General features: G+C 34.3%; 1 protein-coding gene across 11 annotated transcripts in view, besides 1 other annotated feature; it reads right to left on the bottom strand.

The window, feature by feature from the left end:
- Window positions 1–15,093, bottom strand: part of ATRNL1 (attractin like 1) — an 855,635-nt gene that overhangs the window by 526,892 nt on the left and 313,650 nt on the right. The gene's annotated exons all lie outside the window — the stretch shown is intronic.
- Window positions 4,241–4,340: a silencer, noted in NCBI's record as "silent region_2853". NCBI's record gives its function as "represses an Ori minimal core promoter by ATAC-STARR-seq in GM12878 lymphoblastoid cells {active_cell/tissue: GM12878}" and the evidence as "EXISTENCE:reporter gene assay evidence [ECO:0000049][PMID:35858748]".

Genomic DNA, 15,093 nt, shown 5'->3' with positions numbered 1-15,093 from the left:
CTAGGTTATCCTTCAGGGTTTTTATAGTTTTGGGTCGTACATTTAAGTCTTTAATCCATTTTGAGTTGACTTTTGTATATGGTGTAAGAAAGGGGTCCAGTTTCAACTTCTGCATATGGCTAGCCAGGTATTACAGCACCATTTATTGAATAGGGAGTCCTTTCATCACTACTTGTTTTTGTCAGCTTCATTGAAGACTAGATAGTTGTACCTATGCAGAATTATTTCTTGGCTCTCTATTCTGATCCATTGGTCTATGTGTCTGTCTTTGTATAAGTACCATCCTGTTTTGGTTACCACAGCCTTGTAATATAGTTTGAAGTCAATTAACATGGTATCCCCAGCTTTATTCTTTCTGTTTATGATTACCTTGGCTACTCGAGCTCTTTTTTGATTCCATATGAATTTTAAAATAATTTTTTCTAATTATGTAAAGAATGTCATAGTTTGATAGGAATGCCATCATACTATGGCATTTGCTTCAGCATTCAAAGGGAAAGCTTTCAACTTTTCCCTGTTTGGTATGATGTTAGCTGTGGATGCATATATGTGCACATATGTTGAGGTGTGTTCCCTCTACACCTAATTTTTCAGCGGTTTTATCATGGAGGAATGTTAAATTTTATCAAATTCTTTTTTTAGCATCTATTGAGATGATCCTATGGTTTTTGTCCTTCATCCTAGTAATGCAATGTAACACATTTATTAATTTTTGTGGTTTGAACTGTACTTGCATTACTGGGATGAATTTCACTAAATCATGGTCAATGACCTTATAATATGTTGTTGGATTCAGTTTGCTAGTACTGTATTATGGGTTTTTGCATCTATATCCATCAGGGATATTGGCCTGTAGTTTTATTTTATACTTTTATCTTTGTCTGGTTTTGTTATCAGGGTAATGCTGGCCTCATAGAATGAGTTTGGAAGAATGCCCTCTACTTCAATTTTTTGGAATAGTTTGATAGTAATTGGTATGAGTTCATTTTTAAATATTTGCTAGAATTTAGCAATGAAGCTGTCAGGTCCTGAACTTTTTTTGATAGGAGTCTTTGTTTTACTGATTCAATCTTGTTTCTCATTATTGGTCTGCCCAGGTTTTCTATTTCTTCATGATCCAATCTTGGTAAGATAAGCTATAAGAAATTTATTCATTTCTTCAAAGTTTTCAAATTTATTGGTCTATCATTGCTCATTATAGTCTCTAATGATCCTTTGTATTGCTGTGGTATCAGTTGCGATGTCTCCTTTTTCATCTTTGATTTTATTCATTTGAATCATTCCTCTTTTTTTCTTAGGCTAGCTAAAGCTTTGTCAATTTCGTTTCTTATTTCAAAAACCAACTCTTCATTTTCTTGATGCTTTGTATTTTTAGTCTCTATTTCCTTTATTTCTTCTCTGTTCTTTATTATTTCTTTCCTTCTCATAATTTTGGACTTAGATCATTCTTGTTTTCTAGGTCTTTGAGGTACAACATTAGGCTGTTTATTTGAGATATTTCTACTTTTTCAAATAGGTGATTATTGCTATAAACTTTCCTCTAAAAACTGTTTTTGCTATATCCCATAAGTTTTGGTATGTTGTATTTCCATTCTGATTTTTCTCAAGAAATGTTTTAAATTCCTTTTTAATTTCTTCATTGACTTGTTTAATTTCCATGTACGTATACAGTTTCCAAAGTTCCTCCTGTTATTGGTTTTAGTTTTATTCCACAGTGGTCAGAAAAAAAATACTTGATATGACTTTGATTTTTAAAAATTTGAGGCCAGGCCGCCATGGCTCATGCCTGTAATCCCAGCACTTTGGGAGGCCGAGGCAGGTGGATCACCTAAGGTCAGGAGTTCGAGACCAGCCTGGCTAACATGGTGAAACCCCGTCTCTACTAAAAATACAAAAATTAGCCAGGCATGGTGGCAGGCACCTGTAATCACAGCAACTCAGGAAGCCAAGGCAGGAGAATTGCTGGAACCTGGGAGGCGGAGGTTGCACTAAGCCGAGATAGCACCATTGCATTCCAGCCTGGGTGACAACAGTGAGACTCTGTCTCAAAAAAAAAAAAAAAAAAAAATTGTTAAGACATGTTTTGTGCCCTTACATATAATCTATCTTAAACAATGTTACATGTGCTGTTGAGAAGACTGTGCCTTCTGCAGCTGTTAGACCGAATGCTCTGTAAATGTCTGTTAGGTCCATTTGGTCAAGAGTGTTGTCTGACACTGAAGTTTCTTTGTTGATTTTCTGTCTGGACGATCTGCACATTGCTGAAAGTGGAGTGTTGAAGTCCCCTACTATTATTGTGTTACAGTCTATCTCTCCCTTTAAATCTATTAATATTTGCTTTATATACATAGGTCCTCTGCTAGTGGGCACATATATGTTTATAATTGTATCTGCTTGCTGCATTGACCCCTGCTATTATTATATAATGGCCTTGTCTCTTTTTACAGTTTTTAACTTAAAGTCTATTTTGTTCATATAATTACAGCTACTTCTGTTCTTTTTGGGGTTCCATTTCCATGAAATAGCTTTTCCCATCCATTTACTTTCAATCTATGCATGTTGTTTTATACGTAAAGTAAGTCTCCTGTAGGCAGCATAGTTTGGTCATATTTTTCTATCCGTTCAGCCTCTCTTTTAACTGAATAATTTCAACCATTTACATTCAAGGTAGTTATTGATAGGTAAGGGATGACTATCACGATTGTGTAACTTCTTTTTTAGTTGTCTAGATATTTTTTCCTTTTTTCCTCTCTTAAAGGCTTCCTTTGTGGTTATGTGATTCACTCTAGTAATGTGTTTTATTCCTTACTTTTTTAGTGTTATCTATTATAGCTTTTAGCTTTTTCATTACCATGAGACTCACAAAAACATCTTATAGTCATAATAAGTTATTTTAAACCAATAAAAACTTAATTTTGATCGCAAAGGAAAGAAGAAAACAACAAAAATGGTACATTTTAACTCATTATCCTTCCATATTTTGAATTTTGATGTCACAGCTTATATTTTTCATATTGTCTATCTCTTAACAAATTATTGTAGTTTTTTATAGTTTTGTCGTTCATTCTTTATACAAAGATAAATGTGGTTTATACAACAAAATTACAGTATTAGCCTAACAATCAATGTAAGTATTCTTTTCTTTAAGTTTGAAGAGCTCTCTTCAGCATTTTTTGCAGAATTGGTCTGGTGGCCATTAATTCCCTCAGCTTTTGTTTGTCTGCAGAAGTCCTTCTCTCCTTCATTTTTAAAATACACCTTTTCTGCCTATAGTATTCTTGGTTGGCAGGTAGTTTCCTTCCACATTCTGAATATATTGTCACATTCCCTCCTGCCCTGAAAGGTTTCTGCTGAGAAATATGCTGCCAGTTATATTAGATCTCTCTTAAATGTTATTTGCTTCTTTTTTCTCACTTCTTTCTAGACCCTCTCTTAGTCATTGATCTTTGTGAGTTTAATTGTGACATGCCTTGTGGTATTCTTATTGGGATTGAATCTGGTGACCTTTGACTTTGCTATAATTGGGCATTCACATCTTTCCCCAGGCTTGAAAAGTTTTCTGTTATTATTTTTAATAAGTTTTTGGCCCCTTTGTCTCTCAACTCCTTCTTGAATTCTAATAACACAAATGTGTTATTTTGATGTTGTCCCACAGATCTGGTAAGCTTTCTTTGGCCCTTTTCATTCTTTTGGTTCTTTCACCTCTGACTATGTTCTCAAATAGCCTACCTTTGAACTCACTAATTCTTTCTTTTGTTTGATCTATTGTGCTGATGATGCTCTCTATTCCATTTTTATTTCATTCATTGTATTTCATTTCACTCATTCATTTCATTCACCTCCAGGATTTCCATTTGTTTTTATTATTAATATTTCAATCTCTTAAGTTTTGTTCATGTATTTCTGATTGCTTCTCTGAATTTTACTGAAGTTTGAGCTTCAGTAAATTTATTGAACTTTCTAAAAACAGCTATTTTGAATTCTTTGTCTGAAAGACCACATGTCTCCATCACCTTAGGGCCAGTCTCTGGCACCTTATTTTGTCTGTTTGGTGAGATCAGATTTCCCTGAATGATCTTGATGCTTATGGACATGCAACAATGTGTGTGCACTGAGAGATCAGGTGTTTATTCCAGTCTTCCTAGTCTAGTTTTGTTTTTGCTCATCCTTCTTCAGAGGGCCTTCCAGAGTTTCTAAGGGGACTGACTGTTGTGTTCTCTGAGCCCATGACCACTGCAACTCCCTAAACACTAGAGGGCAGTCTAAGCCCATATCTGCCACAAGTCTCAGGAGGGCTCCAAGGTTGGCAGGGCTCTGCAGGGCAGATGGACCTAGGGAAGATCCAAGGAGGGTAACTGGGCTGTGTGGGAAAGCTGGCCAGGAAACCTAGCCCAGAAGACTATCCCAGTGCCCCAGACAATCATGCCTCCCAGGAGGTCTCTGAACAGGTGAGAGATATGTCACCAACTGCAGCAGGAGGGGCCAAATCTGAGGCTGGGTCCCCTCAGGATCTACTGTGGGACAAAGGTTGGATAGCCCACCTCAATTCCTCAGATGGTTGCACATCTCCTAGCAGGTCCCTGCACAGATATGATAGTTACCTGACTACAGTGGGGGGAGCTGGGGGTCAGACTGGATCCCTCAGGATGTGCTGTGAGATGACAACCTGGGTACTACTGAAAGATAAGTTTGGCAAGCCTATCAAGGAGGCTCAGACTCACAATCTGCAGGATATGGGCAAGTCTCCCTCTGGGGTTTTGTGTGAGCAGTTCTGTGCTGGGAACTCAACTGTAGAGGGCTGGAGTCGAGCCACAGGACTACTTCTAGGTTCACTGCAGAGACTGATATCAGTGGGCAAACAAGTCTCTTACACTAGTACACATGATTGCTCCTAGACCCCTTAGAAGATGATTTTAGTTGCAGGCTCAAGGCCAAACAGGGCTGTAGTCAAATCCCTTGGGGATCAGGGCCATTTCTGGGCTTGAACCTGGAAGCAAAATTAATGCATCTATTACCTGGGTGCCAGTCTGCATTCTCAAAACAACCCTCTTTGGGCCTTGGGCTCCAGTGGGCTTTCACACCCTCCTACCTGACTCCTGAGGCTCCTGCCAGTGACTTTTGTCAGTAGATAAGTGCAGAGTTCTTGTTGTTGTGAAGAAATATTAGTAGGTTATCTCCTATTCTGCCATCTTGCTGGTATCACTCTCCCTCAAGTGTTTTCAAAGTGATAATACTGAGATATTGACTTAAAAAGCTCAAGGATACAAACTCATTTCTCTAATATGAAAGTTATAACATTTTCTTTTTTGTTAACAATATTTGGTTTATTCAAATTACATAATCATATATTGAACTGAAAATTACTATAATATATTTACCTTCAACACAGTATAAGTTTTACAAAGGAATGGTTGAAATTTTATTTTCTCTAAACTACAAATTTCTTGGAAGGATGAAACTATATGTTCTTGTGTAGGAAGTAACTTTGGCATCCCAATTCTAAGTTTTCAATAGTCAAGCACAGAAAATTAACAGAAAAAACAAACCAACACCACCTTGTTAAGAATCAAACTGAAAGACTTTGCAGAATTCTGGAAGGTGTCCAATACAAGAACTACATTCTCTATTAAATATTTATAGCTCAAAAAAGCAAATTAGAAACATATATTATCTAAAGTGGTTTATATTAACAAATAATAATTTTTGAAATAATTTTGAATGTATTAAAATGGTTTTCAAATTTTATGAGTTAAATTTAAACACCAATTTTTGGTAGTTTAATTCCATGTGTCATTTAAGGAAACACAGGTACCTCCAAAAAGCTAATGAAATAAATACTTTCTATAAAAACATAACAATATGATTTTGGGTATGAAACTCAGCTTGAAAAAGACAAAAGTAGATGTAAATAAGTGGAAAGACATTATTTATTCTTTTGTAGGACACCTCAACATCATCAGAATAGCAATTAATTTCAAAGATAATCTTTAACTTTAATGTGATTCAATGAAAACTCCAATGAGATTTTATAGGAGCTAGAAAAGTTGATCTCAATGCTTAGGGACAAAAGTAAACATACAAGAATAATTAGAAAAACACTGAAAAAGATGAGCTTTGAAGAGAGGTAGACCTAAAAGATATAAAATATACTCAAAGTCTCTATAATTAAATAGTATGGTACTAGCACATAAATAGACCAAATGTGTACAATAGAAATTCCAGAAACAGGCTCAACTATCACATGCTAAAAATCTAGTAAATGATAAAAGTTGTCTTAAATGACTGGAGTAAGACAGTCCTCATAATAAATTAAGACAACTTGATAGCTATTGTAAAACTATCAAATCAGATCCAATCCTCATACCATAAACAAAATAAAACTCTAAATGAAGCATAAATCTAAACGTAAAAAATAAAATTTTCGATATAGTAAAAAAAGGATGTTAATTACATAATAAAACCTTTACATAATAAAGGACAAGTTAATTACATAATTAATTACAAAATAAAAGGCTTCCTAACCATGAATAAAATTCCAAATGTAATTTTTAAAAGACTAAGAAATATGACTACCTTAAGAAAGCTGCATAGCAAAAAAAAAAAGTGCAATTAGTACTGTCAAGAAACATATGACAAACTGGGAGGAAATATGTGCAACTTATGTCTCACTGAAAAAGAGCTATAATCCCTAATTCATAAAGAACTCTTTAAAAATAAGGGGGAAACTAATAATTTTATAGAAAAACTGGCAAAATACATGAAGAGACAATTCACAAAAGTGATATAAAAATGGCTCTTAACCACATGAAAAATATTCAACTTCACTTATAATAATGGAAATATAAATTAAAACTACACAAATTATTCTCCACAAGACTGGCAAAATTTCAGATGCATAGCAATATATCCTGCTTATGAGTCTGTAGATGAATAGGCCATCCCATGTGGGCTAGTAGGAATAGAAAATGAGAAAATTCATATGGAGGACAACTTGACAATATCTAAAAAACTACATATGCATGTATTCTTCGACCCAACAATCCCATTGAAAGGAATTTGCTCTTAAGAAAAACCTCCAATATTATAAAACTACATACATACGAGTTTATTCAGTGTAGCGTAATTTTAATTGCAAAATACCAGAAAAATGTCTAAATGTCCCCGAATAGATTTGTTAACCTATGGTACATATGCATAATGGAATACTATACATCTCTAAACAAAACAGAACAAAAAAATGAACATTTTTATGAGCTGATATTAACTGAGCTCCAGGAAGTATTATAAAGAAGAAAAAAAATGTAAAACTCAAAAGAGTATCTAAAATACATCTAATAATATGTCAGCTTTTGTGTAAGAAGGTGAAATAATAACTATATATATAAATATAAGATACGCACATAGACAGAAACACACACAGCTCATACAGCTTTACTTTTATGAAAGGAAAGATGGGAAGGATAAACCAGAAAACAATAAAATTGGTTACCTACTGGAAGAGGGAGAAAGAAATGAACAATAATCTCTCTGAGTATACTGGAAGTAGTTTCAGGTTATTAATGTTCAACATATTTAATTAATTATTTTAATACAATAAGAATGGGAAAGGAAAAAATTCATAAAATTAGAAGTAAGTAGAAATAAGAGCCTAATAAACTTCAAGTGAATCCTATCTCTATATTGATGGAAAAAGAAAGTAAAAAAGGAGGGAAATAGGAGGAGAGGTAAGGGGAAGAAGAGAAGAGGGAAAAAAGGAATGAAAGAAGAAAGGAAGGGAGGGAGTAAGAGAAGAGGGAGGGAAGGAAGGTTCAAAGTAACTTAGGAACCCAAAATTTGACTACATACTCCGAATTGGTGCAGGGCAAGGTGGAGGAGGGAAGCTTGAAATCAGATTCCAGAATCTTTTATGTAGGTTTTCTTACTGAAGTGATATAAGCAAAGTAAATCTGAAACTATTTTAGATTACAATATAGAATTGAGCAAACAAGTAAATATGTTGATGTCATTGGAAGTCAGTGTTCATTTACTGTAGAAGAAGGAACAAATACTGAGCCGGAGAAGGTACAAAAGCCTTGCAGAAATAGATCCGAATTGGAAGTTTTGGTATGAAGAAATGCTTTCTAAAATATTTATATGTGTGTATATACATGCATATGTATGCATGTATGTGCACATATGTATATTTATATGTGCACATAAATAAATTATTATTTCCTAACTTTGTTCACCAAACAACCCACTAAGTAAAGATACCTCAAAGAGCAAAAAGCATACCTAGCACCAAGATCTTGGTCTCTAATATGATATTCCATTACAAGGAACTAGAGCTCCAAAAGGATATACAGCTGATTCCACAACTGAGGCAGAAGAGGAATAAGATGAGCCTGAAATATCTTCTTATACCAGAAAGTAAGGAAGTATTCACAAAATGATAGGTGTGTCACATAAACAAAAGAGCTAGCTTGAAGCCTCTCCTACTGGCCAAATCTTGGACAATGTGAGCACCAAAGTGGTTAAAAACATTAGTGAATTATAAATCATTGGGAAAAAAACAGGAATTCATGAGTCCATTCCAATAATAAATAGATAAATAAATGGGACAAGAAAGGAAGGGTCTTGTTTATAGAAAAATGTTGAGGTCTGTCTGGTAAATGTGAAGGAGTCTACCATAGGAGTTGGTAAACATCATCATAAAAATTAAGATTAGGCAAGAATAAACAAATTTTTATTTTCATTAATGTCACGTCCTATCAGATAAATTTGTTCCACGTTTAATTCACTTAAAAAAGACAAAAGAGAAAAAAGAATGCAGGCTTACTTGTTATACTTCCACTCAAAATCCAAGATCCTCACAGGCTAGCAAATTGATTCTAATAGCAGAGTCACCACTCATGGGAAAATATCTCATTACAAAGGATAAAACAGATGAAATCCCAAACAAATGTATAAAATATTACTTATACACAATGCAATGCTATGCAAACCAATGACTCCCCACCTCATTCCTCACATGCCAAAAATAAATTGATAAAACTGTGCTAACCTGTTATAAATAGGTGATATTAAAATGTTTGGCATATCCGTTATGGATTATGATGTAACCTAATAATAATATGATCTGGAATCAAGATTATCATAATCCATCAATTTCATTGTAGATCCCCCAAAGAAATGCAAATTAAGAAATCAGAATGGAGGATCTAACTATTTTCAACATAAGAAGAAAACAATATAACAAAATTACAAATACCTTATTAAGGCAATTTTGCAGATATAAAATGTAAATTACTCAGATCAATTAAAATAGTTTAACTCATTTATTCTGTAACAGTCTACTGTGTTTATTTACACAAAGGTAAAATTTCTTCAGAAATGCTCTGTTCTAGGAAAAGTCTTAATCTGCATTGTTGAAATTATTTTCCCCATTCAAGAAAATATCTACCAAAGACTAGAAATCTCCTTCCTAGTCTGAAAACACTTAAGGAATATATTACAAAAATATCTAATGTAGAGTTGTATAATTCAGTAAATAAAATATCAGAGTACTTGGATATAATATTTGTACTAGTTATCTATTGCTCAATAAAAATACATAAATTTGGTAACTATAATCAACACACATTTATTATATCACTGTTTCCGTGGATCAGGAGTCTGAGCATGGCATAACCAGGTTCTCTGATTCAGAGTCACAGCAGACTGCAATCAAGACGTTGGCTGCACCTAGGGTCCACTGTAATCCTGCAATCAGGTGTCAGCTGGGACTGGTTTTAATCAGAGGACTAACTAGGCATATGCCTGCTTCTATTTTCCCTCAGGTTTTTGGCAAAATTTATTTCCTTACCACTATAGGACCGAGGGCCTTGGTTTTTCACTTGCTATTGGCTGGTGGCTATCCTCAGCTGCTAGAGGATACTCTCAGCTACATTTTTCTCAGAGCCAGCAAAAGAAAAAATCACTAGAGCAAGTTTTCTAGGAAGCATAGACTTCACAGCATATTCACAGAAGTGAAAACCATCACTTTTACCATGTAATGTAACAAAATAATAGGAGTAATATCCCATTAACTTTGCATTATTTTCTGGTTTAGAAGCAAGCACAGGTCCTGCCCACACTCAAGGAAGGAAATGGAACTACACAATGGTATGAATACCAGAAGTCATAGATAATTAATGGTCAATATAGGAGCTGCCCAACATAAAATTTTTGTTATAGATAGAATTTTATAATATAAAATATTTCAATATATTTACTTGAGGTATGAACATGAACCACTAATCTAATTCACATAATAAAAAAGCAAATTGAGACATAAATTATTTTAGCAAGTTCAACTTCAGATTACAACAGGTAAATAAAATGTAAAACATTTAAATATAAATAATAATTCCTTAAACAAATTGATACTTTACAACATAAATCATGTTAATATTTCTGATATTTGAGCTAAATAATATTTTAAAAACTCAGAACCCTTCAAGACTGATAAAAACATTAAAAGCCTTTAGAAGTCTTCTGTAATGGCTTAATTAAAAATGTAATTTCAAAGGGTTTCTGTGTCTAAGCAAAGAGATAATCATACTCCTTTTCCACTAAGCAAACTAATCAAGCAGCTGGACTTTCATGGAAAACAGATTTAGGCTGAACTATGTATTACAGACTTTGAAGAAGTAAATAATCTCATTAAATGTCACCTAAATAATGATTATCATTTATGTAAACGCTAACATTGTTATACACATTTTGTATAAAACAAAATATAAAATAATTCTACATTTATAAGTTTTAAAGTATTTTTAATTTAAATGTTTAAATTAAAATTTTAAATTTAAATATTTAATTTATTTAAATATTTGAATTTATAATACGAACACTTAGATATTAAATATATTAAATATATATTCAAATGTTTAAATATATACATATACCTTGTCAAGATACATAATTTTTTTACTCAGAGACTAAAATAAGGGGCATGTAACAGCCATAATTTTAAAATATTACAGATTATTTAAAACAGCTGAAAATCTGCTAAATAATTTTGCATTTTTATGATTAAATATGAAGGGGTAGGCCAAGCATGATGACTCATGCCTGTAGTCCCAGTACTTTGGGATGCCGAGGTGGGTGGATCACGAGGTCAGGAGTTTGAGACCAGCCTGGCCAACATGGTAAAACCCTGTCTCTACTAAACATACAAAAATTAGCAGGGCATGGTGGCGCACACCTGTAATCCCAGCTACTCAGGAGGCTGAGACAGAAGAATCACTTGAACCCACGAGGCAGAGGTTGCAGTGAGCCAAGATCGCATCACTGAACCCCAGCCTGGATGACAAGTTGAGTGAGACTCTGTCTCTGAAAATAAAATATTTCTTTTTAAATGAAGATATAAAGATATAAAAGGTAAAACACACTTATTTTTCTCTTTTTTTCCCTAAAGAAACCCACCAAAATGCTATCATATAATATTTTTAAAACAGAGAGAGAGAGGCCAGGTGCGGTGGCTCATGCCTGTAATCCCAGCACTTTGGAAGGCCAAGGCGGGCAGATCATGAGGTCAAGAGATCGAGACCATCCTGGCCAACATGGTGAAACTGCATCTCTACTAAAAATACAAAAATTAGCTGGGTGTGTGGTGCACACCTGTAGTCCCAGCTACTCGGGAGGCTGAGGCAGGAGAATCACTTGAACCCGAGAGGCAGAGTTTCCAGTGAGCCAAGATTGTGCCACTGCACTCCAGTCTAGTGACAGAGCAAGACTCTGTTAAAAAAAAAAAAAAGTAGCAATTTTTAAAGAGAAATGGCTAAACTTTCTGAAATCTCCAAACTGATAAATGAAAAAATAGCAGTAAACAAGAGCATCATAGTAAAACAGGACTAGGTTAACCCTGATACCAAAACCAGATAAGGACACAACAACAAAAAGAAAACTATAGGCTAATATCACTGATGGACATTTTCAAAACTCCTGAACAGAATACTGCAAATCAAATCCAACAATATATAAAAAGATAATACACTAAGATCAAGTGGGGTTTATCCCTGGAATGTAAGGATGGTTCAACACAATGCAAATCAATAAATGTGACACATCACATCAACAAAATGAAGGAAAAAAGCCATATGATAATCTCAAAAGATGCAGAAAGAGCATTTGACAAAATTCAACATCTCTCCATGATAAAAAAAACTCCCCATAAATTAGGTATAGAAGGAAAGTACCTCAACACAATACAGGCCATACATGACAAACCACACCAAACACTAATTTGAATAGGGAAAAGCTGAACACTTTTGTTTTGTTCAGGATTTTTGCATACATGTTCATCAGGGATATTAGCCTATAGTTTTCTTTTTGTTGTTGTATCCTTGTCTGGTTTTGGTATCAGGGTTAATCTACTCCTGTTTTACTATCATGCTCTTGGTTTTTGTTTTTTTGTTTGTTTGTTTTTCAGTAAGAACTAAAACAAGACAAAAATTACCACTCTCACCATGCTTATCCAACATAGTGTTGAAAGTCCCAGCCAGAGCAATTGGGCAAGAAAAAGACATAAAAGGCATCCAAATTGGAAAAGAGGAAGTGAAATTGTCCTGTTTGCAGATCACATGATCTTGTGTACAGAAAATCCTAAAGAATCTCCCAAAACACTATTATTTAATAGAACTGCTGAATGAATTCACTAAACTTGTAGGTTACAAAATCAACATTAAAAAATCAGTAGCATTTCAATATACAAACAACAAAGTAGCTGAAAAAGAAATCAAGAGGCAAATCTCATCTAGAATAACTAACAAAAAAGTACCTAGAAATAAATATAACCAAGGAGGTGAAAGAACTCTACAAGGAAAACTACAAAATAAACTGATAAAATTGAGGAGAATGCAAACAAATAAAAAGACATCTCATGCCCACGAATCACAATTAATATTGTTAAAATGGCCATATTACACAAAGCTATACAGATTGAATGCAATTCCTTTCAAACTACCAATGACATTGTTCACAGAAATAGAAAAAAGTAATAAAATAAAATTTGTATAGAACCTCAGAAGACCTTTAGTAGTCAGAGCAATCCTGAGCAAAAAAGAACAAAGCTGGAGGTATCACACTACCAGACTTCAAAATATACCACAAAGTAGTACTAACCAAAATGACAGGTACTGGCATAAAAACAGACACATAGATCAATGAAACATAATGGAGAACACAGAAATTACATATCTACAGCCAACTGATTTTTGACAAAGATGCCAAGAACAAAGATGACTTGGAGAAAAAATAACCTCTTCAATAAACGGTTCTGGGAAAACTGGATATCCATATGCATTAGAATTAAACTAGACCCCTCACCTCTTGCCCTATACAAAAAACAACGGAAAAATGGATCAAATACCTAAATGTAAGGCCAGAAACAATAAAACTACTAGAAAAAAACGCCAGGGGAATGCTTCAGGACATGGATCTGGGAAAAGATTTTATGAATAAGACTTCAAAAGCACAGGCAACAAAGGCAAAAATTAACAAATATAACTATATCAAGATAAAAAACTTCTGCACAGCAAAGGAAACAATCAACAGAGTAAAAAGACAATCCACAGAATGGGTTGCAAACTATTCATCTGACAGGATATTAAGAGCCAGAATACATAAGGAACTCAAACATTGCAACAGCAAGAAAACAAACGATCTAATTGTAAAATGGGCAAATAATCTGAACAGACATTTCTCAAAACAAGACATACAAAATCACCAGCAAACCTATGAAAAAATGGCCAACATCACTAATCATCAAGAAATGCAAATCAGGCCGGGCGCGGTGGCTCACGCCTGTAATCCCAGCACTTTGGGAGGCCGAGGCGGGTGGATCATGAGGTCAGGAGATCGAGACCATCCTGGCTAACAAGGTGAAACCCCGTCTCTACTAAAAATACAAAAAATTAGCCGGGCGCGGTGGCGGGCGCCTGTAGTCCCGGCTACTCGGGAGGCTGAGGCAGGAGAATGGCGTGAACCCGGGAAGCGGAGCTTGCAGTGAGCCGAGATTGCGCCACTGCAGTCCGCAGTCCGGCCTGGGCGACAGAGCGAGACTCCGTCTCAAAAAAAAAAAAAAAAAAAAAAAAAAAAAGAAATGCAAATCAAAACCACAAAGAGATATCATCTGACCCCAGTTAAAATGGCTGTGTTAAAATGGCTGTGTCTTTTTAAGACAAAAATATAAGATGCCGGTGGGGATGTGGTAAAAAGGAACTCTTATACATTGTTGATAAGAATGTAAACTAGTACAGCCAGTATGGAAAACAGTATGGAAATTTCTCAAAATACTAAAAATAGAACTACCATACATATGATGCAGACTTCCCACTACTGGGTATTTATACAAAGGAAAATAAATTAGTATGTCAAAGGCATACTTGCATCGTCATATTTATTGCAATGCTATTTGCAATAGCAAAGATATGTAATCAACCTAAGTGTACATCAATAGATGAATAAAGGAAATGTAGGATATATACACAATGGAATATTATTCAGCCATTAAAAAGAAGGAAATCCTGTCGTTCGTGGCAACATGGATGGAACTGGAAGACATTACATGAAGTGAAATAAGCCAGGAATAGAAAGTTAAACACTGCATGTCTTTAGACATGTGGAAGCTAAAAAAAAAAAGTTGATCTCATAGAAGTAAAAAGTAGAACAGAAGGTACTAGTGGCTGGGAAGGGTGTAGGGAAAGAGAAATAAGGAGAGATTTGTTAAAGCATATTACATTACAACTAGATAGGAGGAATAAGTTCTAATGTTCTATACTACTTTAAGAGGACTATAGTTAACAATAATACATTATATAGCTCAAATCGCTGGAAAGATAATTTGTGTTAATGTTCCTAACACAAACAGATTATAAATGCTGATTGCCCTATCTGATCATTATGCACTGCATGTACTGAAACATCATTATGAACACCATAAATATGTACCATTATCGTGTCAATTTAAAAATAAAATCCAATTTAAATAAATAAATGAAAATATTTTAAAGGAAAAGAACAAAACAGACACTAGAAGAAACAAAAATCTGAATAGTTTATCTCTTTTAA

Source organism: Homo sapiens, chromosome 10 (assembly GCF_000001405.40).
Source record: "Homo sapiens chromosome 10, GRCh38.p14 Primary Assembly".
Taxonomy (NCBI): Eukaryota; Metazoa; Chordata; class Mammalia; order Primates; family Hominidae; genus Homo; species Homo sapiens.
This window is presented reverse-complemented; position numbering and strand designations above follow the sequence as displayed.